Raw genomic sequence first — 27219 nt, 5'->3', positions numbered from 1 at the left:
CATCACTTAATAGCTGTGTGACTTTTGGAGAATTATGCTCTAAACATCAGTTTTCTATTCTGTTAAATGGTATTTATTCTACCCACTTCATAAGGTTACTATGAATACATACTAGGTGTTTAGTAAATGCTAGTTCTTTTCTGCTTCCTCTGAAATTGTACATCTGGTTATGCCAACAGGTATACTTTCTCCAGCCTTATGGGCTAGTAGGTGCTTAGGTCTTCTCAGCTACTTTGATCATATATTGATTCTTATTCTTCTGCAAGTTTTAAAATTTCTCTGTGATTCCACTGAGTCAGTTAATATGGTGGACATAACAATTTACCCATTAAGTGAAGTGTATTTACCTTTCCAAAAGAAAAGTCACCTAAGTTTTAGGATCCCATTTGGAAGGTGGACCCCAGAAAACCTAGGCAGACCCTTTGTTCACTCAGTGAACATTTCTACATTTTTTTGCATTGCATAAATTCTACTACCCTCATAAGCATGGTCCTCCAACTAGGTGCTGAGACTGGTGGTAAAAAACAAAGCAAAACAATTTAACTGTTTCACACCCTGCAAGAAACTCAGGCTTCAAGGAGCTGGAAGAGCAGAACTTCACAGTGTTCCTTGGTTAAGAGTGAGGATAGCTTATGCCAAAAAAAAAAAAAAAGGTTTGATACCTAGTGATGTGAGCTGGGTCTCTGATTTCAAAGACCCTCTGTAGTAGTGCAGTCTACTGGAACTTTCTGTGAGGATAGACATATTCTATATTTGCGCTGTCCAATGCAGAAGGCACTAGTCAGCTATTGTGTGACTAGTGTGGCTGTTGAGCACTTGAAATATGGCTAGGCTAACTGAGGAACTGAATTTTCAGTTTTATAATTTTAATTAATTTACATTTAAATATCCACATGTGGCTAGTGGGTATCATATTAAACACTGAAGCTTATAGCAATTCTATTTTTATTATAGGAATAACTTGTGAGGGATCAGTATAACTACATATTGATGGTCCATCCCATCAATCAACTTTCTACTACAGATTTGAAAATGCTACATGTGAAAAAGGTATTTGGATGGTATATAAAACAAGAAAAAATATTTCAGATATTACATGTGAGGAAGTCCTATTAATACACAGAGTGCCTTGAATTAGAGAAAGAATTCAGGTCATGTTGCTTTGTCCCATGAAATTATGGGTGTTCACATTTTTAAGAGTAGTTAATGCCTTCTAAAGAGTATTTTGCACTGTCACTGATTTTTGCACCTCCATCTTGTCCTACCTTTTTTTAAACCTCAAATAAGTACTTTCAGGCTAAATTAAGTTATTGTAAACCACTTAGGAAAAATGGAGATTTGTGATATGTTAAAAAAAAATGTTTAGAATGTGTCACCCAAGGGGAAAAGGTCCTCCTTATCATTGCATTCTTTTTAAAAATCATTTTTTTCAAATATTAGGTTGATGCAAAAGTAATTGTGGTTTTTGCCACTGAAAGTAACGGCAAAAAAATATGTTATTGAAGTAAAATAATTTCAATAACATATTTGAATAGAACTGAATAATATTTGCAATCACTTTCATGCATTATCGCATTTATTTTATTAGCCCTATGAGTAAGTAGAGTGAGTGTTACTGTTTCTGCTTTACAGATGTGACTGTTGTGCCTTCAGAGAAGTTAAGTGACTTGCTCTTGGTTACTGGGGATTTGAACCCAAACATTTTTGTTCATTGTCTTTTCTTTCTCGCCATATGCAAGTTATATTAGTTAATGAGGCCACTTGATTTTTAAAATCGATAACCAGTTCTTTCAGTATCTATAAAACATCATGACTTCAATCTTGTGTGGCCTCATCCTTATAATTTTTGTGCTTCAAATAGGAGAAAGCTTCGATTTATGTCAGTTGTTTAAAATTAATGGTACACTCATATTTTATTTAATAAATATTAATGGTTGGATTTGGCAGAGGGCAGTGGGCTATTTTAGACCTTTACTGTAAAGAGGATCATTAGCACATCCCAAAATCTGATTTCTAGAGTGCTTATCTATCAATATTAGACACTTCAGTTGGTTCTAATTATGCCTCCTAGTTCACCCTGCAGAACCCCTTTCAGGCAGTGCCGCTTCAGCTAAGTGTGTTCCAGAGTGCACTTATTTAGCAATTTCGTCCTTCAGCACAGGTTTGTTCCATCTATGAGATGTAACTTGATTGTTGTTGTTTTTTCTGTCAGCACATGATACAATAGAAATCCTAAATCAATAGCACAGGTTTGTTCCATCTATGAGATGTAACTTGATTGTTGTTGTTTTTTCTGTCAGCACATGATACAATAGAAATCCTAAATCAATAACACTTTTTATTCCGACACAATTGATGCACAACAGCCTTCTTCACATCGAGGTTTAATGTGTAGTAAATTAATTATCTGGAAAGAATACAGGGTCAATGGACCTTGGTATGGCCGGGATGTGATGTTAGAGTGTTCCATTTCCTCCTCCACTTCACAGCATGCTTACTGTTTTTTTGTGCACGTCGGTTGTGTCATCTTCTGCAATAAACTTCCTAAGAGCAGTTAATGCCCTCTAGGGATTGATTGATAGAAAAAAAATTGCTTTATCATAAATTTGTTAAACATTTTCTGCCTCCAGGCAAAAAGTGGGGACACTTTTACTTGTAATACATTCAGTGGCACTATTTTTAAAAGGGAAATTTAATTGAAATTTGGAATTGCTAAAGTGAATAATGCATTTTCTCTTAATTCAGAGTATCTAAAAAAAATTGTGCAAATACATGTAGGTTTTATTATCTACTACTTCCTTTTGGAAATGAGAACAATGATTTATTTTCTAGAATTCAGTTCAAAAAAGATAACTCTATCTGTCCCATAATCTAAATGTAGATACGATGCCAGTCCCATTTCCAGTGATATAAAATCAGGTAGGGTAAAGTGGATTTTCCATCAGAAGCAGAGCAATTAAAAAGCAGAAATTCACTAAGTTTTAAAGTACTCAATTTTCTATTTTCTTTAAAATAAGAATAGGAGAGGCAAACTCCATTATAGTTTTGAGGGTAGCTCTGCTATTAGTAGCTATAGAAACAAGGTAACTAGGTAGTGACTAAGAGAGAAAGAGGGACAGAGGGAGGGAGAGAGAAATAGAATATGAATAGAGAAAAGAGAACCCACAAACCTAACTATAACAGTTAAATGCTCATATGATTTAGGGACTGGTGAGTAGGCCAACATCTTTGTCAGTCTGTCAGTACCAACACTTTGTTAATGCCTTCTCTGGGATTTAGGCATGGAATATAGCACCCAAACAAAATGAATACAATCATCTTCAAAGTAGAGGTAGTGAAGAAAAGAGATACAAATACACAAGCACCAAATTGTAGCAAGCATACTGGGGTCAGCTTCATTTTTTTTTTTTTTTTCAGGGGCCCTTTCCCTGCCGTCACATTTAGGGATGGAGAGTGGAACCAAATCTCCTTTACTTCCCTTGGCAACGAGGTCAATACCACTTGCAAATCCAACCTTCTCTCATTGCAACTATGTCAAAGGTGGGGAGCTCAGTGGGACACTGAAGTCATACAAGACAGAGCACATTTTCCAAACTACAACTTGCCACGTGCCTGGTGGAAATGCCTCTGATCCTAGTTTAAGTTCCCCAGGAATATTTTCAGCTTAGGCTTTATCCCCACATCTGTTCTGGATCATCAGAGTGTATTATATTGTTGCTTGATCTTTAGAAACAAATACCCTAACAACCAAGCTGGATGCTCTATGTGGGGCAGGATTTTGAGTCAACAGAGTGTGTTTTCTTGCTAGTCAACAGCCTTAGATGACTGAGCAGGTATAAAATATAGCCTCTGTGCTTCTATTTCTGAGAGATAAATGATGAGATGCCCCAACAGGTGATTGGTAAAACCTAAGCTTTCACAAAAGGAAGCCATACATTTTCAATACATCATCATCTTGGGCTACTTAACAGAATAACAAAGAGGTCAGTGTGTACTAAATAACAACCAACGTACAGAAGCAACCAAATAATTTCAGCTTGAAATTATATATAGTAAGAGGCAGTATCATATAATAATGGTCAATAGCTGGGGTTGACACACTAGGGCCAGGAGCCAAATCCAGGTAGCCAACTACCTGTTTTTGTAAGTAAAGTTTTATTGACATAGCCACACTCATTCATTGCCATATTGTCTGTCTACTTTCTCACTGCCATGGCAGAATTGAATGGCTGTGATCTGCAGGCTGTATGATCTGCAAAGCTAAAAATATTTATGATCTAGCCCTTTAATGAAAAAGTGACAGTATCTGTATTTGAATTCTGGCTTCAGCATTTACAGGCTATGGTATCTGGGCCAGATATTCATTATGCCTTGGTTTCCTAATCTATTAAATAGGTACGCTAATAGCATTTCTTTTAGATTACAGTGAAGATTACATGAGATAATGTATACGATCTTAGCAGTCTACCTGGCATGAAGTATCAGTCGTCTTCTGCTGATCCCATTCTCTGTGACTTCCCAGAAAGGGTTCTAGATCCCTAATAAAATTATGTTTGCTTTCTATTATGCAGAAGACAGCTTTATTTTTTTTTCTAAGAATATTGTTTGTAGAGGCTGGGCATGGTGGCTCACGCCTGTAATCCCAGCACTTTGGGAGGCTGAGGCGGGTGGATCACCTGAGGTCAGGAGTTTGATACCAGCCTGGCCAACATGGTGAAACCCCGTCTCTACTAAAACTACAAAAATTAGCCGGGCATAGTGGCACGTGCCTGTAATCACAGCTACTAACGGGGCTGAGGCAGGAGGATCGCTTGTACCTTGGAGGCGGAGGTTGTGGTGAGCCGAGATCATGCCACTGCACTCCAGCCTGGGCAACAGAGCGAGACTCCGTCTCAAAAAAAAAAAAGAATATTGTTTGTAGGTACTGATAAGAGAAAAACTTCAGCTGAATTAAATGTCGAGGAGTTTAATTGAGCAATGAACAATTTGCACATTGGGCAGCCCCCCCAGAATCACAGCAGATTCACAGAGACTCCAGCGAGCCACTAGGTGGAAGAAGATTTATAGACAAAAAGGGGAAATGATATACGGAAATTGGAAGTGAGGTACAGAACAGCTGGATTGGTTACAGCTCAGGTTTTGCCTTATTTGAACACAGTTTGAACACCCAGCAGTGTATAAGTGGTTGAAGTATGGCCGCTGGGATTGGCCAACACTCAGCTATTGTTACAGGTGCATACTACTATGTTAAATTTTCAATTTTGTCTGCCTATTAAGCTAGGTTATGGTTCATCCACAAGGACTCAAATGTAGAAGTATAGAGTCATTCTCAGGCCATATTTAGTTTGCTTTAACAGTACCAAGACTCTAATTTCTTAAACATATGCATGTAACCAGCCTACTCTTATTAGCCCAAAGAGGCTACAAGAACATCAGTCTCTTGAAGTTTTCACTTATTATTTTAAATCTTAGCATTCCTCAGATTTGGGCATCAAATTTGCTTAACAAAGAAATTTACTCATTTATTCTCAAAGTGCCTTGGTAAGAGTGGCAGGAGCAGGTCTCAATCATTCTACCTGGCAGAGGTACAGGATGAGTCAGGCAAAAGAAATGTGGCAAATGGACTACTCACACTGAGAAAGCCAAGCCCATGTCTTTGAACTCTTAACTTTGTGTTCTTTCAAACAGAATAAGAGTCAGTATCCTGCCACAATGGAGACCAAGGAATCACGGGGAATAATGTTCAATGCCCCCAGCCAGTTGTACTAGAAAATATTGCCTGGTTGATAAAGTACATCTCCCACGGTTTGACTCCCCTTCCTCTTCCTGGTGCCCCCTCTCATTGCTGCCCTGGGCTGTACACAGTCCCTTAAGCATTACATCCATCAGATCTGGCTGCCTTTAAAGTGACTCATGTTCCAAATGATCTTTCCTCCCATCACTCCACCAGTCCTATAGCAAAACTCCTCTCAGTTTCCGACTCATCCATATCAAGCCAGAAATTGAGCTGATCAAAGTAACTCCTCCTCGAGGAATATTTGTATTTTACAAGGAGAATGTTTAATGCAAATGAAACTCAAATCAGCGAGGTGTTTCTTAGCAAAGAGACCTTCTTTGTGCCTCTTGCTTTCTCTAGTTAAACTCCTTGTTTCCCCCAAGGCCAGTACTCAGCAATTTATCACTCCTCTCTTCTGAAAGATTGCCAAATCTTGCACTAGACCAGATTGCATTATACTGTACTATCTCATTTAAGAATATATCTGAAGCCATCATGTGTATGGTCCACTCTCCCCATGAATTGATCAAATGTGGTCATACATTCGCTTTAAAGAGTCCTCCCTTAAACCCCCAAAAGGCACAGAAGTGTGCCTAATACATCTTAAACACATCAGTGTGGCAACTAAAGAATATCACTTAAAGAGCACAAAGCAATCAAGTCTGTACTGGATTTCCTTTCTATTCCCCTGTAGGTTTGGAAATTCCCTATTTGATGAAGAAGTCAGAGTATGGTTTCTACTGGGAATCTAGAATTTCTGCCCTTAGGGATCCTTTCAAACATATTGCAATCTAGCCTATCCTAAAAATTTAAACCTCTATCAGGACACTTTTAAGTAATTTCAACTTGTTTTGAGATATAGGGACTCCATATACTACTTTTCATAAATTATCCTGGATGATGCTAGATACATTATTGATCTAATCTGTTTTTAATAACATCAATGAATACTTAATGATATTTGAATCCTGAGTTTACAGAGCTCTTTTCTTTCCTAGAGTCTTATTTTCTCAAAAGGTCATTGTGTTTTACATAAAACACCACTGTAAGCTAGAAGTCGGCATCCATTATTGTCAGCATTTTAAAGGAGAGGCTTGGTCCTGAGTAACTGACTTATCTAAGGTCCATCATTTTTCAGATATAGACTTGGGATGACAACCCGGGCTCCTTCCAGCTCCAACCAGTTCTTCACTGTAGGACATGCTACTTCAATGTTGTGTGATCTGGGAGTGCTTCTGCGGCACTGTGCTGTCAATTCATGCATGAATCACTTTTAAAGAAATCATTTAGTTTGATAACTAAGCCTTTTGGATTTGGTCACAGATGAACCAATTTTACACCGAATGCATCCTCATAGTGAGAGGAAAGGGTCATGGCTCCAAAGGAAGGCCTCCTTATCCTCAATTACCAGCTCTGAGCAAGTTTCTGACAAACTTGCTTCCATGTGGAGGGCCTTTTTTCTTCCCCAGCTACATACAACACAGGACAATAGCACCAATGCGAGAGAAGAACACAAAATGCCTGAATTGAGACTCTCTTTGGCATTACGATTAGGCATGAATTACTTGGGCAAGAAGGTGAACATCTTTGATTTTTTAAAGACTGGATTAGAAAGGCAGTTTTCTTCAAAAGAGCAACCAATGCTTGGGAAGGACCCTAGCAGGAATGGTGAGAAGAAGGCAACAGTCTAAGATGGTAGGAGCTCTTCTCTGCCTGTTACCTATACCACCTACTCAGAACTTTTATTTCAAAATGCATTGGTTTTACCTTTGAGAAAAGAGCACAGTTCCTTCAACATTGCTCTCTATCTTACACCCCACCTTGTGCCATCTTGAAATGATGCTGAGAAGCATGGTCCATTTGGTCACCATGTGGCTGCTTGTTGATTTGTGTGAGTCTGGCATCCCTACCTGGAGTGAGCAGAGCTGAAAAGCTGAAATAGATATTTCCCAGTTTGAACCCACTGAAACCTAACTTTTCCTGAGTATGCTTGGCTTAAGTTGGCAACTATATAAATTGCAAAATGCAAATAAAAATGTGTTAAAATGGCTTGGAGAGGAAAAAAGAGCTTTTATGGATGGTTCAAATAAGTTTTTTTCTATATATTTAGTTTTTCATTATGTGTTAATGTTGTCCTTACATTTGAGATGCTTTCTTGATGACAAAATTTATTGTGACATATTATGTCACAAGCAAGATGCTTCAAATAAAGAAAAGATGCAATAAAAGAATAAAAGAAGGATTTACTTTGAGACAGAAACCAATGGGCAGACTTGTTGCATGGTGTGGTTATCAGGAATGACATGAGATGAGAAGGTGGGTTCTGAGAAAATGTAAAAGGAAGAAGAAAATTACTGAAGTTTTGTGAAGAATAGCAACTGGTTTTAAGGAGAAGTGTGTTTGTGAAACATAAATGATAGTTTGGCTACTGTTCTTATGATTTTGAATGCAGTTGTTTATTTTCCTTACTCTTAACTCTGAACGTGATGGTAATTCAGGCCAATGCATCAGTAGCAAACAAAGCAGGAGGAAGAAGGCAGAAACTCAGAGTGCATACATGGGATGCCCAATGCTTAATAATTGAAAGATTGTGAACTGAACAAAAACCCTTGGGGAGCTTTGGAAATATACATTAGAAGTAACTTTTTTAAAAAGAGAAAGAGAAGAATGCTATAATGTTTGAGAAATGTTTTCTCAAAATTTAAAAACTAAATCTTCCCCTTATTCTGCTGTTCTCTCTCTTTCTCTTTTTATTATTCCTATTTTGCAGGTGAGAAAACTGAAATTCTGCAGGCAAAGTAGCTTAATTAAGATCACAGAGCTACCTGGTGGTGGAGCAGGAATTCAGGAAGGAGTCTGTTTCTGAAACCTTTGATTTTTAAAAACTGAAATAGAAAGGCAGTTTTCTTCAAAAGAGCAATCAATGCTTGGGAAGGACCCCAGCAGGAATGGTGAGAAGGCAATAGTCTAAGATGGTGGGAGCTCTTCTCTACCCATTACCTACAGCATCTATGAAGAACTTTTATTTCAAAATGTATTGGTTTTACCTTTAGGAAAGGAGCACGAAGTACTCTTTTTATAGTACCCTGTTGAGGGCAGGGAGGTAGGATTTGAGGGGAGAGGAGAGGCACATAACACATACAAGATATGTTATGGGGCAAGATGGAGGGGAAATTAGCCAATTCCAGAGACCATGAGGCTGTGGGCTTCCCGAGGGCAGAGGCTTAAAATGTCTTGGAACTTTTCCAACTTCCCCTAACTCCTGCAAATAAAGCAAGTTATTTACAAATGCAGTAGAAATTCATATAGTAGAACATATTAACTATTTAGGAGAAAATTAATTTCAAGAGAATCTGTTATAATAGCAATTATTTGTCTAATATAAAAATTAGAGTTTCCCATTATTCTGCTGTTTTCTAAGGAGTCTTAACATTAGGCTAAAGACAGATTTGAAAAATACAAACAAACGCACTGCTTATCTAGTACTTTTCTCACTGAAATATGCAATATGTTTTTTTCTCTATTTATCCTGCGTGCTCCCCCTTTTTTCTGTTTTATATGATTACTTAAGTGGAATTAAGACATTATACAGATACTTCATACTCCCTTTCCTCTCTCTTCCCCTCCTTTAACTACTTAGTATTGCAAGATGCAGTATTATTAAATATATCAATGTAATTCCTTTAGGAACTTTATATCATTAATTTACATCACAGAAAATATAGAGTGTAGTATACTCACCCCTTAAAATAACTCATCTATACTTTATGTTACGTGAAGAGAAAAAAAATAAATAATTTCCTTTTTTTTATCTATGCATTCCCAGATGAAGACAGCCTAGTAAAATATATATATATGAACTGGGAAATTCATTAACCTGACCATAAGTCTGCATTAAATGGTACACGTAACTGCAGGCTGTTTTTAAACAAAGGCTCTGCTTTCCTAAGTTCTGTTCTAACAGTAATAGCAAATGATATCACCACTATAGTTGGGTCTCCATATCTTCAATTTTATGAAATGTCTCAATGAGGTGGTTTAATTGTTAATAAATCTAAAGTATTCTACCAGGATGCTTCATTAATTAAGACAGGGAAATTTCATTTTACAATGTTTCTTACACTGCATCTCATGAAACATATGCTGTCCAAATTGTTTTAGAAGTGAACCATAAATAAAATACATAGGTAACTTGAGCTTATATTTAGGGAAACACTAGCGACATTTGCAGTGATGGAAGCTTGTTTGTTTTGCACTCAGTACAAAAAAGAGACAATCAGACAACCTGTCTGTGCTAGCTCTGGAGGGGAAATTGTTAAAGGACTAAAGTTCTAAGAAAGATTCCTGGCCTATAAATTTTAGTTCAAAATAGGAAAAAAGAGAAAATAGTTGAAATATTAAAATAAATTCACCTATATCTACCTATTAAATTTTTTAAGTTGAATTTTTTGCTTTTCTTTGGCTTGCAGACTAAGCCCAGAGAGAAGAAAACATTCTTTTGCAGTAGTTTTAAATGGCAGGCTGTGGCAGGTGCTGCAGACCTGTTTGTAACCCAATCCCAGGAGCTGCTTGCTGATGGGCAACATTGTTGGAGGCAGCTGGAGGAGCCTGGTGAGAAATGGTCCGTGCAGCTCAGTAAGAAAATGGCCCATTTTGGCTGTTTTCATGTTTAAAAGTGCCTATCAATTTTAAAAGCATTTAGAGAGACTGAATTTAAACTGGCACCTCTGAGAAATGAGAAATTAAACTTTTTGACTTATTACTGTACTACTCTAGGTTCCTCCTTTAAGCTCTCACTCCTTCATTTTCTTTGTCTTTCCTCCTTTTCACATCTCTTTTTGCTCCACTTCCTTTCCTGTACAGGTTCATGCTTACCTGTTGTGATACAGTTAGTAAAGCTGTCTACATGCTCTGATGTGTATGAAGTAACTGCGAACACTGATTCATTTACCAACACTGCTTAGAGTGAAGCATATCTCTGCTACTTATCAAACTCTTGACAAGTGGTTTCCATATTTCATATTCCATGTTGTGTATCTCCTATATTCCAAGTTCTCCATAGAGAACAGGATGAGAACTGGAAAAGTCTGATCAAGGTGACCAGTGGAAAGGGGGAGAATGTTGTTAATCACTAAAGGGGAGCCAGGGAGTTCTGTGGCGATACTGGGGCTTCTTGAATCCTTGTTGTGGTGGCTCAGGGGTTACTGCAAGGGTGCAAGTGACAATAGTACACAGCAGTATTTCCTAGACCTGTGAGCAGATCTAGGTATCACTTAGATAGTGATATCTAAGAGATTACTTCTTGGGTGTTTTTAAGTTTTTAAATAATGAGTTATGTGGCAAGAATTACACATTCTTACATATATTTTTATACAGGTGATCAAACATAATCATTAGGATATAGAGTTTAGAAGTAACATAAAATACAAGCAGTTAAAACAGTCTAATAAGTTGTTTGCACAGAGGCCTACAGATACAGTTGATCACTGCTTAGTTTTAAGTGAATAAATAGGAATGCTTTATTCTCTTCTAGTCATTTAACAAACATTTATTGAGTATCCACTGTGAACAGAAAATGTTTTACATACTGCAGATAAAGCAGTGAAAAAGATAGGCAAGGACTCTGTTTTAGCTGAGCTTATATTCCAAATGTGTGTGTTGAGGTAGGGAGAAGGTTGCCAAGAACTGTGAAGAGCCTGAGATTTTGCCATACTTGCAAGCTAACAAATTGGCCAGCTACAGTTTCATGACCTCTGGATTAGCGACAAAGTATAGTTTATTATTAACAGCCATGCAGTAGCCAAGTAGCCATTATTTTCCTTGTGCTGGTTCCATGAACCCCAATACTCACAGGGCAATGTGAAGCAGGCCAGTAAACACCTACATCTGCAGTGAGTTATGTTACAGGACCGTGATTTTAAGCTTAAGGAACCCTAATGTTTTATAATGGGCAGTAACTATGCATGTCCTTTACTTTTAGGGAGACACTCATTCTCTCTTCCTGTTTATAAGTAAACCTGCCCTTTGCCCTGGAGGGGGACACTGTGTCTAATTTCAAATTTTATTCACTGTTTTTTTTTAATCTGCATGTCTATTTTATTTCCATTAGAAAAATATTATCTGTCTACAATTTTGGTCCACTTTCTTCTTGACCTCTACCATTCCAATTTAAATACTTTAATTTTACCCAAATAAAAGCAGAGTCACACATCTGACATGAGAACAAAATGTTTCATGTCATTAAATTAGTTTGAATTAGGTGTGCTCGTTTATTTCTTAGAAAAAATAACTCATCTTTCCTACTTATTATTTTCCTTTTATTTATTTGAGTCGCTCTTTGGTAATGAGTATCTCTTTCCTACATTCAGTAATATGGGTGTAAATAATAATAATTTATTACATCAGTAACTGGATTAATCATCTAATCTTCAACTCGTGCTTAGCTCTCCATATTCTATGGTATTTCCATAATAACTTCAGATATTTTAGTCAAACTCACATTTTCATCAGTTCTAAAAATTAAGATGTTATATCAATTGTAAAAGTCAAGATGTGAAAAATTTCAGACTAAATAACACCGGGCCACTTATAGTCATGCCGTTGTGAGAGGTGCTTGGTCAGTTACTTCCTCAATTTCAGCTTGGCCTCCTTTGGGCAAAGCAGCAACCAGGTAAGCAGCACTTGCAGGAAAACTACTCTTGAAGTACTGTTTGTAGATTTCATTGACAGTAGGGAAGTCATTTATGTCAGCCAACAAAACAGTTGTTTTTACTGCATTAGTGAAGTCACAGCCTGCAGCTTTCAGAATTTTACTCATGTTCTTGCTTAGCTTCTTTTGCTAAACAAGCCCTCTTGGCACAAGCTGTCCACTTAAAGGGTTCATGCTTATCTGTCCTGAAATGTAAGTTTGTCCTGACTAACACAGCTTGACTGTAGGGCCCAATGGCCGCTGGGGCTTTCGTGGTGCTGATCGCCTTTCTGATTAAGGATGACCTGGCTAACCCTTCTCTCTTGTGGCCCCTCCAGGAGAACTCCCTGTACAATTCCTGCTTGCTTCTTGCCTGACTGACCTATTCACTGTTCTGAAAAGATTGTAGTGGCTCTGCTTGCAAGATGTGCAGAAACATGAGAGACCCTCCAACAGTGGACAGAGAGGAGATAGTCATATTTATACTGAAATATTTATGTGAACTACAAAGTATATTGAACTCAGGCAAATCTCAGTTTTGACTAGTGATTTACATCAGTGATACTGGTTCCCAGTATCAGTTTCTGCAGTCTTGTGAAAGAGCATGAACTCCGTATTACCTGGTGGACTGACCCAGTGCCATGTGAGCAATGTGGATCATGAGCAATGTGTGGATCAGGATTCACTTTTCCACTCTATGTCTCACTGTCTGTGTCACTTGGACTGATTGCATAGATTCTCTAAATCTGTTTCTTATAAACTGGGAGTAATAAAACCTGTCTGATGGAGTTATTGGAAGATTAAATAAATAACATTTATAAAATACTTAGCATAAAGTCTAGATACAATAAGCATTCAATAAAGGGTAGATAGTTTTGTTTACTATCATAGGTGTCATAGACTCTGCTTTTAAATTTAATCCTTATAACAACACTGTAATATGATCTTCATTTTATAAATTAGGAAATGGAGACTCAGAGATTTGTCTGAGGTTACCGGCTAATAGGAAGTAGAGCCACAATTCTAACACAGTTCAGTCAGTGTCAAAGTTCACATCATGTACTACCCAGTAGACTTTAGGGGTGAATCTCTCTACTTCCCAGTCGAATTTCCTCATTTAGAATCCACCTCTGCGAGTGCGATGGCTCATGCTTGTAATCCCAGCACTCTGGGAGGCCAAGGAGGGCAGATTGCTTGAACTCAGGAGTTTGAGACCAGCTTGGGCAACATGGAGTAACCCCATCTCTACAAAAAATACAAAAATTAGCCAGGCTTGGTGGTGTGCGTCTGTAGTCCCAGCTACTTGGGAGGCTGAAGTGGGAGGATCTCCTGAGCCCAGGGAGATGGAGGCTGAAGTGAGCCGATAGTGCCACTGCACTCCAGCCTGGGTGACGAGAGTGAGACCCCCATCCCAAAACAACAACAACAAACAGACAAAACCCCCAAATCTGCCTTTGCCATTTATTATCTGTTTGATTTTGAATAAAATCCTTTATATAAAAAATGGGGATAATAACAGCACCTACCAGGTAAGGTGGTTATCAGGATGAAATGAAATAATATCTGCATAATGCCTGACAAATAGTAATAAAAACACATTTATTGATATTATTATTAGTTTTTATTACTATTATTGTGACAGTAACACGGAGGCAAGCAACATTACTTATTCCAGATGACCATTCACCTTCCCAGAAACCTGGGCTGCAGTGTTTATAGCCTTCTGTGATGTAAATTTCCTATAAGCTATATATTACAATAGTTTTGAGGATCAATAAAGACATTGATTATAAAGTATGGTGAATGCTTCATACATAACCTTAGATTTGATTACAGGAAAGAGGAAAACATAATGTTACATTAGTATAAAGATAAATTTGCTTTTCTATTTTCTTTTCCATTCCCCTAATAATTTTGGTAAAATATACAGCAGTGCATATTGACCCCAAAAATGAATAAAACATCACTTAATTTACTTTAGCTCATACATTGGTTGTATGGGTTAACTCACCTTACATACATTTTATACAGTACTTAACATATATTTTAGAGAAAACATTAGCAATATGACTTTTCATTAATGCTTAGTAAATATTTGCCAATGCACTATATAATTTTAATTTTGATAAAAATAGCATTGTGGACAAGTCAATGGGACCAAAAATACCATCTTCATGATTCTTTAGCTTCTAAAGACAAATTGCTACATTTAAAGGTTATGCCAAATTTGAAAAGCAACATAGGATAGTGGGAAAGACCACGGATTCTACAGCCAGCATTCCTGGGTTTGAATCCCAGCTTTGGTACTTAACTACTTGTGTGAACATGGGCAAGCCCCTTAAGCTATTGGAGGCTCATCTCCTTATCCAGAAAATGGGGACGATAAAAGTATATACCTAATAGAGTTGTTGGCAGGGTCTGGGAGTGCATGAAGTAATATACATGAAATGCTTGAACAACCTCCTGGTCCACAGTAATATCATACAAGTGTTAGCTATTGCTATTGCTATCCTTTTAACCACTTCATGAATAATCTCCTATACCATGATTCTCCGAGCATCAGGATATGCAGGGACTGGGGACCAGTGCTGTGAATTATGGCTGCAGAAGACCCTAGAATACTGCCTTCAATAGCAGGACTTACAAGAAATCACTACTCTGATGGGAATATTTTGATTGAGCTTGTCAGAAGACCTGGTATTGTTGAATGCTTTTTGAAAATATGCTAACGAAATAGCTTCAGATTATATTTTCCTTTTCCAATATTCTTTGTCAATATATGAGTATTTCTGACTTTCACAGCATTTACCAATTACCAGTTTCGCTGTTTATGTTGATCAGCTATATTGGTAAAACAAGAGTTCATTTTTTAAACAAAGCATTATATTCAATGATGGTTATTTACCTTTTAATCAGCTTTCTGAATCTTAAAACATACACATTACATTTGAAAGCCAAAGATATCTAAAGTCAAAGAAGCTTTTTGTCTCTTATACTGTAGTGTTAGTCTTACATATTTACTTAATAACGAAGGCTGGCCTCCCAGTTCTGGAACCTCTCCCATCTTTCCTAACACATCACCCCAGCCCACCCTTGGTGTCCCTGCCCTTGCCAATTTCCTCTTCCCTATGCCATTTCCCATACTTTCAATATTTTCTTAAGCCTTCTTTAAAGAGGCTTAAGATTCACCCCCAATGCACCTCACCTATTTCTGACCTTCTCTGTAGCTACTGGAATGTTTCTATCTTGTCCTCTAAATTAATAATGGGAAAGCATAAATAATCCCATTTTTTTAAGGCATTTTTCTTGGAAGAGGAATAGGTGATAGCACTTCTATAACACCAAAAGGACACTGTAGGGTGAGAAAAAGGAGAAGGCCAAAAACTTGTTGAAAACCACATTCTTGGCCGGGCGCAGTGGCTCATGCCTGTAATCCCAGCACTTTGGGAGGCGGAGGTGGGCGGATCACGAGGTCAGGAGATTGAGACCATCCTGGCTAACACGGTGAAACCCCTTCTCTACTAAAAATACAAACAAATTATCCGGGCGTGGTGGCGGGCACCTGTAGTCCCAGCTACTCGGGAGGCTAAGGCAGGAGAATGGCGTGAACCTGGGAGGCAGAGCTTGCAGTGAGCCGAGATGGTGCCACTGCACTCCAACCTGGGAGACAGAGCGAGACTCTGTCTCAAAAAAAAAAAAAAAAAAGAAAACCACATTCTTCAGGAAATAATCATGGTAATAGTAACATATCATAGGAGCACTGATGAAGAAAATATTAAGGCAAAAGGTACTTTGTTTTTTTCAACCATTTTAATGATGAATGGTTAAGATAAGCGGATGTATTTCTAAGTGCTAATAGTTTAAAGCACTCCCTTCTTCACCAAAAGACATTGATCCTTTCTCTAGGGTACTCATGCCAAATGGAAATTTTGGTGGACAGAGTCTCTTTAATGTAACTCTCCTGAGAAAGGCGTGCTAAAACATCAAGAAAAGCGACCCGACCATTCAGAAAAAATAAAAATAAAAAACCAGAAATGAAAGTGAGGCTTACATTGTATCTATAAGATACAAACTGATTTTTTTCCTCCTACAGCCAGCTACAGTGATTTAAATAATAATTTACGTATTTACTAAATTCCCATAGAGATGTACCTGCTGTTTTGATCCTTTCTTAATAGCAATACATTGTGATATATGGAAGCCCTTTGAAGAATCTCAGCCTGTGCTAAAAATCATGTGTTGGCCGACTGGATCCATTCGAGGAATTTATGGTCCAAATTAGCGTGAAATAATCAGCAAACGCTGTGTTGTCACGCTGTGTCTCTTTACCAGATTCCCCAGTTCCCAGGTCAGCTAGAGCAATTATTGAAACACCCAATGGTCAGACAAATTTCTGCTAGCAGATGATTTTAAAGGAATGCTAGAGAATCAGTTTGGAAAGGCCTGCAACCAAACACCGCGTTCTCTAGGGAGTTCCCAGTACGGGGCAAGGTGCAGCATTGCCTCCCACTGCTTTCCGTTGTGCTAGCATATCAAAGAAGGAACCTAAAAGGCACGAGGACCTGCTACTGGGGGGAAGAAGGCCTCAGAAGGCGAGAGAAGTGCTGAGTGGTGGCACGCAGCGGCCAGTGCGCCCGTCTGTCTTCTGGGAGCTCATTGCAGCGCAGTAACTGGAGATCCTCACCCGCCCGCCGCGACAAACTCAAGCACATTTTAAAGCAAGGCGCCTGGGAAGAAAACATGCCAGAATAGAGTGGTGTTATTTTTAATGGAGCATGTGTTTGTCTTGCAAGTGTGTCGGAAGGAGGGGAGCAGGTGTCGGGTTCCTGACCAGCGCTTCTGATGCAGGATAAGAGGCCGAGGTTGGATTTCCCATGGCCTCACAAGATCTTTGATTTTGCAAATGGGATGTAGTCGTCCAAATTGAGTGTATAACGCTATCCCTTCTCGGTGCGTTTGTACTTGTTTTTAAAGCAAACTGGCCTCAGGGTGCGGATTTCATGAGCAATCCTAGGGATTGGGCCAGGTCTTGTTAGGTGAAGATTAACAGCCCAATAAATAGAATTGGTGCACCACCGTAAGATTAACACAAGGCAGTGGCAGAGTCGATCTAAGATCTTGGAAGGCAAAGATGTGCAACCCCCCTCTTTTTTTTTTTTTAAGAGTAAGAACATGAGTTTGTCAGTAATAAATTAATAACCCTCATGTAAGAGAGTTGTCAATATGAGAGACTCTATCTCCCATGTTCAGTAATAAAGCTACCTACTATTTTGGTAAGAAATGCCTAAATTGAAATTCCAAAGGGTATTATGAACTTGAATTAAAAAGGTAATGGATTTTTTAATAAGTTCTGGGTCAAGATGTATTATCAAACTATTTTCCATAGGGCATAGAATATACCGTCTATCCTTTTAATAATGCCAGATCTAGTCTTACATCCAGTGGCCAGCTGAGGCTGCTTGTCTATTATAGCTCTCCCACCATCCCTAACAATGAACAAATAACTAGATGGCCTATGAAACATTTAAAATAGAACTGTCTCCTAGAGAAACTGTTACTAGCAGAGACAGGTTTGATCCAGACCAGGATAACCTGCTTTGGGAAAGAGCAGATCAATATTGTTTGGGAGTAAGTAGTGGAAGTAAATATTATGGTGAATTAAGTTAATCATAAAACAAATGATCTGTGCACTGACATGCAGCCTGATTCTACCTAATTGTTCTGATGCAGTACTATGTGAAGGATAATTCTGTGTGCTCTGAAATTCAGAGGGCTTTCAAAAAACAGTTTTAATTATACAAACCATTTGTTAGTCATGAAAGCGCTATGTCTGCAAATGCTTAAAGACTGGCAAAGAACTTGACCATGCATTTGAAAAGTGGTCTGCATATTCTAAGTTATAGGAGATGAGTTTTCTTCTTTCCTGATTTATGGCTTGGGTCCAAAGCCAAAGTTATGTCTTTAAACCATTCTTTCTGTCATGCCTAACTGTCTGACTCTGCGGTACTCTACAAACTTACCTCTTTTTGTGTGCTCTCATAGAGTATTTTCTTGCTGCATCCCTCATCCTTCTTTCCATCTTTGCTGGGTCTGGAGGCAGGTAGTATTTCTATATGTAGCCATGGTGAAAAAGGAGGGTAAACTTGTTGGCTAAAAGGTAGCTGAACTCAACAGACATAAGTGTACTCTAAATGAAAAAGTAAATTATTGAGTTATAAATGGACAGAAAAAACTGCTTCATTACATGTTTGGATAACTTCTGGTCAGGCATGAGTTAGTATAGGACGTTGTCATAGCTATCTTCATAGTTGCATTAATTTTTAGATGGTTTTAGATTAATGCAGGAATTTATACTGTAGCTTAATATTGGAAGCATTAAATTCATTGTTACAAATTGTCTTCTGTTTTTTATGTCTTCTATAAAACAAAAATCTCCGTAAGATAAAAGAATGCCTGCCTCTCTCATCATGGACACATGTAGAGAGAGAGAGTGGATCTGGAAAACAAATTTATACTTTTTCTGGAAATGGGAACCATTCATAAACCATTTAATGAGTTCAAGGTCTCCTTGTTCTCATTCTGCCTCCTATTCATATAGACTGTTGGCAACCAGAGGTAGCTGGGCTAGTGACGCATTATTGGATGAATCTGCTTCAAACTTGAAGATTTATGAAAACTCTGAATGACAGACAAAAATATACATTTTCCTTTTAAAAAGGGTGAGATTAATATTCAGCAGTCACAATATATAATTAAAGAGAAAAATGAAATGAACTGTTTATGCAGGCACAAATAGTTGGTTTAATATTACAAGAGACCAGAAAGTCTGAGGCAAAATTTTTAAATTTTGCTCAAGGGTTTAAAGCCCCTCTGAGGTGTTCCCGCAGGTATAACCCTATTGCCATTTTTATGCATGTCATGAACTTGTTTAGCAGCTGCATTCATGTGAGATGCTCAGTTGTCTCCCGATGCTGCCTGCCTCCCTGTGTGCATCTTTATGTACTATATGCCCTCATTAATTTTGGAAAGAATTTTAAAGAGTGCTCAAATAAGACTTCCAAATAGTAGCCGGTATTTTTTTTCTTTAGGTGTTGGAGTGCAAAGCTCATTGAAGCAACCCCCAGATGGCTGAATTGTATCCTAAACACAGTCCTAGATAAGATAAAAGACTAACTGATGCCTAGAGGTCTCAATAAACCTTCTAACTCGGTTAAAATTTTGTTCCTGCTTCCTTCCTGCAGCTCTAGGTCCCAGTTTTAAGTTCTGTTCTTCATCTCCAAACTTTAGACATTGGGCAAACTGCTGGTTTCCTTTATGTGAAAACTTCATCAACTTGTGTTTGATTGTCACAGAGTAGTAGCTTGGCTAAATTTGTCTCCACGGTTTTTTCCCCCTAAAGGAAGTCTACAGTAATCTTGTAGGGTGGGGTTAGGGAGGTTCTGTATTGTTTGGATACTGTGTATAGGATAATGCTGTGTCTAGGATAATGTGTATAGGATAATGCTGTGTAAAGGAGGATGTAAAAAAATGATAGTCACTGATCATTTCTATATTCTCAGGAGGTTTCCTGGAATGGAGTAGAGAAATACAAAATCTAGGGTTTCCTCGTCCATGCTATGTAACACAGGCCATCAGAAAGGGAGTTATTGAGGCATCTAGGGTATGCAAAGATGACTGAGAGTTAAGAAATGAATAGTTGAGAGTAGGGAATGAATTAGAAGTTGTCTTGATTGCTGCTGTTTCTTGTTCTCTCCCATGAAGATGGGCATCTTTTCATATCCAAGTCTTTCCACCACCAGGATGCTCTGACCTCTAGGTGTCTACCTTGGGATCCCTATTCCCCAACAGCCTACCGTCACTCCACTCACAGGTGGCTCAGCACATGGCCCTGCAGAGTGAGATATAAGATTCTTCTTCCCATTTTGGTCTTTTCATTGCTTCTGCTCCCTGGACCCCATGCCTGCTCATTGTGCCCTGCCTCTTCATCAACCACAGCCCAAGAACCTCCCCTCCCCTGCCCTTCGATATTTATGGGGGTGACACTTTTGCTTTCCTTTAAAAAAGGAAGTCTGTCTCTTCATTTGCTCTTTGAAAAAGTAATTCACATTATCAGGAAAATTGGGGGTAACTATAAAGGCCATTTTTTGTTTCTGGTAAAGAATATTTAATAATTAATGGACACATAATTGAACAATACAGATATTATATGGAGAGAAGTATTCCCTTTTTAAGTCTCTTCTACTCTTTTGGGTAAATCAAAGAGAAAATTCCAGTTTGGTGTTCATATGACTTTAAGTTCTCCCTCACTCTGACTAATATCCCTTTTTAATGCAAAAAGTAGACCTCAGGCTCAAAGCCCTGTTGTTGGTAGTACCTGCCCCACTCTGACCCAGACAAGACTCTCAATGATAAGAATTTTAAGTCAGAAGTGAAAGGAGAAAAAAAAAATCTCAAGTGTCTTGGTGAGAAAGGATGTCACTCCCTTATGTTAGGCCCAGGCCCAGTTGGAAAGAAGACCCAGAGAGAAGTGGCTCTCTCATTCATTTGTGTCTATTATTTCATTGATTTCTGAGCAAATTAGAGGCTCTGTGGAAAAGGACTGGCAAGGAAATATGGAACAGCGTGAATGTAGCATTCTACTTAGCACGAGGAAATGTGTTATGCATATATTAAACACGGGCTCTTTCAGAGAAAATTGTGAAAATAGCTCTATGTGAAGTTCTTTGTATTGATTTGTAAGTTATTAAGGTAAAACCATTTTTCCCTCCTGAAATTCTACAAAAATCAGTTGGTTAAAATACAGATCATGTTCTAGAAGGAAGTTTATAGGGATGTAAAATGCTGAGACAACCAGAAATCCCACATTTTAGATGTCAGGGCATTTGATTCATTCCTGTTAAGCCTTGGACATCAATAAATAAAATCCTGGCTGACTGAATGTGTAACCTTATAAATTTAAGTGCTCTTTACTCTGAAGACCTGAAGTTCTTCTTTTTAAAAATCTTTTAAAGAAACTGAGAATCCCCTGAGTTTCTTGACTCTAGATGAAGTCCACAGGGCAAGCCAGGTTCTAACTTTCACTCTATACATGTTAAATTTATACCAACTTTATGTTACGGGTGAGTCTATGAATAATACAATTTAGGGATTCTGAATTTATGAATGAACAGGCAGCTTTTAACTCCTTCTGGGAGCAGGCACCATATGCCATTCAAAGGTAACTTCCCTTAGATTTACATTTCATTTATTCATCTTGCGCCTCTAATGTCAAGTGCTGTGTCAGGCCTTGAAAGGAAACGTAACAGTGAATAGCAGTCCAGAGAAAGAACGATAAAGCTGACAAACGGTAGCCTCCTCCATAAATCAGAGATTCCACTGAGAGAAGTTGACGGTTGAGCCTATACATTAGAAAAAGAAATGTAGAAGGAGGAAAAGAAAACAATAGTATGAAACTTGCTATGACTCAGTGAATGAGAAAAATGAATCACAAGGAAACCTGGCAGAATAAAAATTATCTGATTATTGTATGAAGCAAAATCTTCAAGAAATAAACTTGTTAACTAGTTCTGAAGAAAAATGAAAATGAGAATTATTATGTGTAATCATAAGAAAAGAGATGAAAACCAATCTAAATTTAGAAAATGTCAAGGTCAGACCTTTCTAAACAAGGTAGAATTGAAGTAGAAGGATGAACACAGATATGGCCAAGCAGGTAAGAGGTCAGAAGGTGACAAGTACAGGCACCTTCCAAAGCAGGATGGGTGACATTTGCTTTTTTCAGTTTGTATTAGGAAAATTCCCACTTCAACCAGGTTTTTAGAGTTTTAAGATGAGTAGATTTAGTAATTGTGGATAAATGGTTAAGCATGGAGCTTTAGAAGATGTCTGAAATTGAGGAGCCCTCTTACTTAAACTTCGTTAGCCTCACAGTAAATCTACCTCTGGTCCCCTTGCAGAATCATGCCTCATGTGATGGAGGAGAAGAAGTGGGCTTTGGGCTGCTGTGTTGGGCAAGAGACTATGATTCATCTTCCTGCATGGATTGCCTTGAGTCATGCTGTCCTCATCATTAGAATGGTAAGCTAGAGAGAGAGAGAGTTGTGATTAGGGAGTGGGTTTAAAAGATAAAGAAGTTATTTCTGGCTAAAGTAATGAAGACCGTATTGCTACTGTGTTTCAGAAGTGTATATGCCTCAGTGAAACCACTTTTGTCTCTTTTTGAATGGCAAGATATACCAGAGACTGTGCCGGATGCTTGAGATATACAGATGAAGAATGAATGATGAATGAAACTTGGTTTTTGCTGTTAGAAAGCTTATAAGTTGGAGATGCAAGCGTAGGAGGTAGGAGGATAGAGGCAGAAGGAACCCAGAGTATCCATTTGGGATGGAACCTCACATTCATTTTTTTTTTTTTTTTTTTTTAGACAGGGTCTTGCTCTGTCACCCAGGCTGAAGTGCTGTGGCACAATCTCAGCTCATTGCAATTTCCACCTCCTTGGGCTCAAGCGATCCTCTCACTTCAACATCCTGAGTAGCTGGGACTACAGGTGTGCACCACCATGCCCTACTAATTTTTCTCTTTTATGTAGAGACAGGGTTTCGCCATGTTGGCCAGCCGGGTCTTGAACTCCTGAGCTCAAGTGTTCTGCCCACTGCAGCCTCATAAAGTGCTGGGATTATGGGCACAAGCCACCGCACCCAGCGGCATTCATTCATTTAACAAGTATTTGTTGAGTATTGTATTATTTTAAGAGCTGTGGATCTGGTAGCAAACAAAATAGCTCAAAATGCCAGTATACATGGCACTTTTATTCTAGTGGTGAGAAACAGACAGTAGATAAACTACTAGTGTAGATATAGATGTATACATACACATACATATACAGGCAGATGATGGTGAAAACTGTGGTAAAATAAAGCAGGTTACAGGAGATAGTCAGCTGTTTCTTTTCTTTCTCTGTACGTGTGCATCCATGTGCATCTGTGTGTGTGTGCCCGTGCGCATGCGTACACGTGCAGGGAGCTATTGCTGTTTTATACAGAGTGGACCAGAAGTCAACAATAAGATGACATTTCAAAAGGGATCTGAAAGAAATGAGAAAGAGGCACGATGGGAAGCACTCTCTGGGCAGAGAGAATAGCAAGTGAATGCGTCTGGAAGCAGTGGTGTGAGAGGTGTGTCTGAGGAACAGCAAGGGAGGGCTGGTGAGGCTGGAGTGGAGTCAGCAATGCGTAGAGGGGAAGGCGATAAGGTCAGAGAGGTAGCAGGGGCCAAGGCAAGAGTCGTCTCAGGCCATGGTAAGGACTCTGGGCTTTAAGCGTGGTGGGGAGCCCCTGGGAGGAGCCATGTGGGCAGAATCAGCTCTAGAAGGGCAAGCCTACAAGCAGGGGGCTCAGTTGGGAGACTGCTGGAATAATCTAGGTGAGAGATGATAGTTGCTCTAACTGGGTTGGTAGCAATGGAGGTGAGAAACTTTTGGTTTCTTGTTATATTTCAGAAAGGAGCCAGCAAGATATCCTGATAGGTCAGGTAAGGAGATGAGAGGCAATGTTTTTTCTTGAGCAACTAGAAGGTTGGAGTTTTAATTTAATGAGATGAGAAGAACAGTAGGAGGAACAGTTTGGGAGGTGGTGATGGGATTTCTGTATTGGACTTAAGTTTGAGGTCTTCATTCGACATCTGATTGGGAATATCAAGTAGGCATTTGGATGTGTTTGGAGTTCAGGGAACAGGGTGAGGCTGGAGATGAATATGTGGGAGTTAAGACCATACGTATGGTATTTAAGGTCATAAGATTAAACACAATCACCTAGGGAATAAATATAAATAGAGGAAAAATAAATATGGCATGTTTCTTTTCATGAACTTTTGGACATACTTTTGTTGAACCTCTGGAGGTGGGATTGGGCATTTGTGAGTGTAGGTTCCTGCTATTTCTCTCTTTCTCTAAAAATACATGACATGATTTATACATCCCAACATTTCATACAATGCTTTTCATAATCTGATGCATACCTACTCACTTCTCCAGTTTCAGTTCCACCAAACAGCAAAAGCATCACACTGTTTCATGTCTGTGTGTGCCTTTTGCTCATGCATTTCTACTTTGCGGAAAAGCCCACCCTGCTCCCAACCCCAGCTTATATCCACACAAACACACACATACACTTCACACTTCTGGGTAATATCTATTCATTTCTAAGACCCTAAGTGTCATGTCCTTCAAAATACCTTCCCCTCAGCTTGTCTCCAGGTGGGTTGAGCCCATCTTCTATGCTTTATCAGCCCGTGCTTGGGAATAATTCCTTATCTCATTGCTTTATAATTATTGTCTCTTACTGTCTGCCTAATCCTTGGTACAGGGAATACTCAAAGCATTTATGAAAGTTTACCAACATGTTAACAGACAAGATAGAGAAAAGTGATGAGTGAAATAAACCTCTTAATCCCACAACAGCAGAACAACGGCAAAATAAACCCCACTTCAACCAGTAGCTACTGAGCTAAAATTCCTCAATGTCCTCTGCAGGGTACGCTCTGCACTCACCTAGGTCTTAATGAATGTGAAATAACAGGCCCTAAATGATCAATCATGGGAAAAAGAGGAAACAAATTAGAAAATAAATCTTTGCAGGAAGAAGGATGAAAAAGGAAAAAATGGGCTAGAGGATTTCATTCTGAAACAAATGAGAATATTCCTAACTGCAATCTGTCTCTCATTTGGCGAATGAGAGTGACAGTCTCAACTGGAGCTTTAAAATGAAACTCTTTGAGTCAAAGAGATAATTAACCATTTATAAACAGATATGATAAACCCTTTAAACTGCACTACTTGATCCAATCAAATAATTAATTCCATAATTTTAAAATTATTTTAAAAAGCTGCTCTCTAAAGAAATTTAAATTAGATTTTATTAATATTTTCTCTGTGTTACAAAAGCCATCATTTGTAAAATGCTGGTAGGCCAGATTTCAATTAGACAATACCATGTACACTAGTTGTTTTCTTAATGCAAATGAACCTTGACATCTTTTTTTGATTACATCACTCAATTGTAAATTCCTTAAAAGCAGGAACTATAGATCCTCAACTAATGTGTGTTACATTTAAATTTGAGAATGTAATTGCGTGATTTCAGTACTTTTTTGTCTTCTTGTATAGAGCATATACACCATTCCATAATAATATACTCTAATAATGGTACAGTCACGATTTATTAACACTTACATGTTGTACTTGCTTTATCTCCATTTTATTCTTACCACATCCCTATGGGAGAATATGTTTTTTCAGTTGAAAAGAAGTAGAACTTATATGGAATTTTAAGCAGTTCACCCAGGCTCAGAAACACAATTTTGTCTAATAAAAATAACTAAGTTTTTTTTTTTTTAACTATGCCTTAACATACTTAAGGAAACCCTAAAAGCTTGTGTATTTGTGCTACACATATTTAAGAATGCCATTAATTGGGAACATCTAAATATATAAGTGGATTTGAAAATCTTTATTAAAATGTCATTCTGATTTTTTCATTACTAAATAAAAGCGATACACTAGAGTTATTACCTCAAATGTGTATCAAATTTATAATGATCACAAAGTAGCAGTTATCATTGAATTAAGGAAATATCTGCTTCAGATCATTTACTGAGTAATAGAATTTTAGAGTTGTTTAAATTAACTAGGATAACTAACATATGTAAATGTGCAATACAAATATGAAATATGTAAGTTTGGTGACATACTTTATCTCTGAGAAATAAATTAATAATACATAAAATTGCCAGGCGCAGTGGCTCACGCCTGTAAACCCAGCACTTTGGGAGGCCGAGGTGGGTGGATCACCTGAGATCAGGAGTTTGAGAACCGCCTGGCCAACATGGCGAAACCTCATCTCTACTAAAAATACAAAAAATTAGCCGGACATGGTGGCGCATGACTGTAATCCCAGCTACGTAGGAGGCTGAGGGACGAGAATCGCTTGAACCAGGGCGGCAGAGGTTGGCAGTGAGCTGAGATCGCGCCACTGCACTCCAGCCTGGGCAACAGAGTGAGACTCCGTCTCCTTAAAAAATAAATAAATAAATAAAATCATAATTTAATGTTTCATTCTAGCCAATCAGGTTTCTAATGCTTTATTATTTCCTCTCTTCACCTAGGAAATACATCTAATGCTTCTATCATGATGAAATCTAAAATAAGTCAATAAGGATGTTCTTTTAGTCAAATTGATGTCTTTGCCTGGGATGCCCTTCCATCTTAGTCGACCTAGACAATATTCCGCATCTTTCAAGAATCATTTGGTGACTCATAAATCTATATCTCAAGCCCAGACCTCTGTCCTCAGGTCCTAGGTCAGGTATCCCACTGCTCACTAATCACAGCTACTGGAATTCTTCTGGGGCATCTTGACTCATCATGAGATATTTCTTCCATGGCTCAACAAAGAGAATGGGTTCCTCTTTTTTTGGTGCCTCCACTGTTCTTTGTGTAAGCTTCTCTAACACTGTCTGTAATAGTTTATTCAAGGTCTTTATGTAATCGTTTATTCAAGGTCTTCAAATACTGGGCACACAGAACACCCTCCCCCCTCTTCACTTTTGGAAACTTATTACTATGATAATAACAATAACAGCTATTGTTAATAGTATTATTTGCTGAACTGGTATGAGTATGGTAGGCAGCTAATGCCAACAGATTGGAAGCTATTGACCAGATAAAACCTATAAACCATTCCTGCAAATAGAAATT

At 38.3% G+C, this 27219-nt stretch overlaps 1 pseudogene, besides 4 other annotated features; it reads right to left on the bottom strand.

The window, feature by feature from the left end:
* Positions 4818-6017: an enhancer, noted in NCBI's record as "MED14-independent group 3 enhancer chr1:199728370-199729569 (GRCh37/hg19 assembly coordinates)". NCBI's record gives its function as "activates an origin of replication core promoter dependent on BRD2, BRD4, P300/CBP and CDK7 cofactors, and independent of MED14, by STARR-seq in HCT116 cells {active_cell/tissue: HCT116}" and the evidence as "EXISTENCE:reporter gene assay evidence [ECO:0000049][PMID:35650434]".
* On the bottom strand, positions 12369-18543 carry RIDAP1 (RIDA pseudogene 1; annotated as a pseudogene).
* Positions 16014-16189: a silencer, noted in NCBI's record as "fragment chr1:199718198-199718373 (GRCh37/hg19 assembly coordinates)". NCBI's record gives its function as "represses an EF-1alpha promoter that drives an FKBP-Casp9 reporter gene in an ReSE screen in K562 erythroleukemia cells {active_cell/tissue: K562}" and the evidence as "EXISTENCE:reporter gene assay evidence [ECO:0000049][PMID:32094911]".
* Positions 17131-17673: an enhancer, noted in NCBI's record as "H3K4me1 hESC enhancer chr1:199716714-199717256 (GRCh37/hg19 assembly coordinates)". NCBI's record gives its function as "activates a minimal SCP1, AML or CMV promoter by ChIP-STARR-seq in naive H9 embryonic stem cells {active_cell/tissue: H9 hESC(naive)}" and the evidence as "EXISTENCE:reporter gene assay evidence [ECO:0000049][PMID:30033119]".
* Positions 21837-23036: an enhancer, noted in NCBI's record as "CDK7 strongly-dependent group 2 enhancer chr1:199711351-199712550 (GRCh37/hg19 assembly coordinates)". NCBI's record gives its function as "activates an origin of replication core promoter dependent on BRD2, BRD4, P300/CBP, MED14 and CDK7 cofactors, with strong dependence on CDK7, by STARR-seq in HCT116 cells {active_cell/tissue: HCT116}" and the evidence as "EXISTENCE:reporter gene assay evidence [ECO:0000049][PMID:35650434]".

This window comes from Homo sapiens, chromosome 1, assembly GCF_000001405.40.
Source record: "Homo sapiens chromosome 1, GRCh38.p14 Primary Assembly".
In the NCBI taxonomy this organism is placed as follows: Eukaryota; Metazoa; Chordata; class Mammalia; order Primates; family Hominidae; genus Homo; species Homo sapiens.
This window is presented reverse-complemented; position numbering and strand designations above follow the sequence as displayed.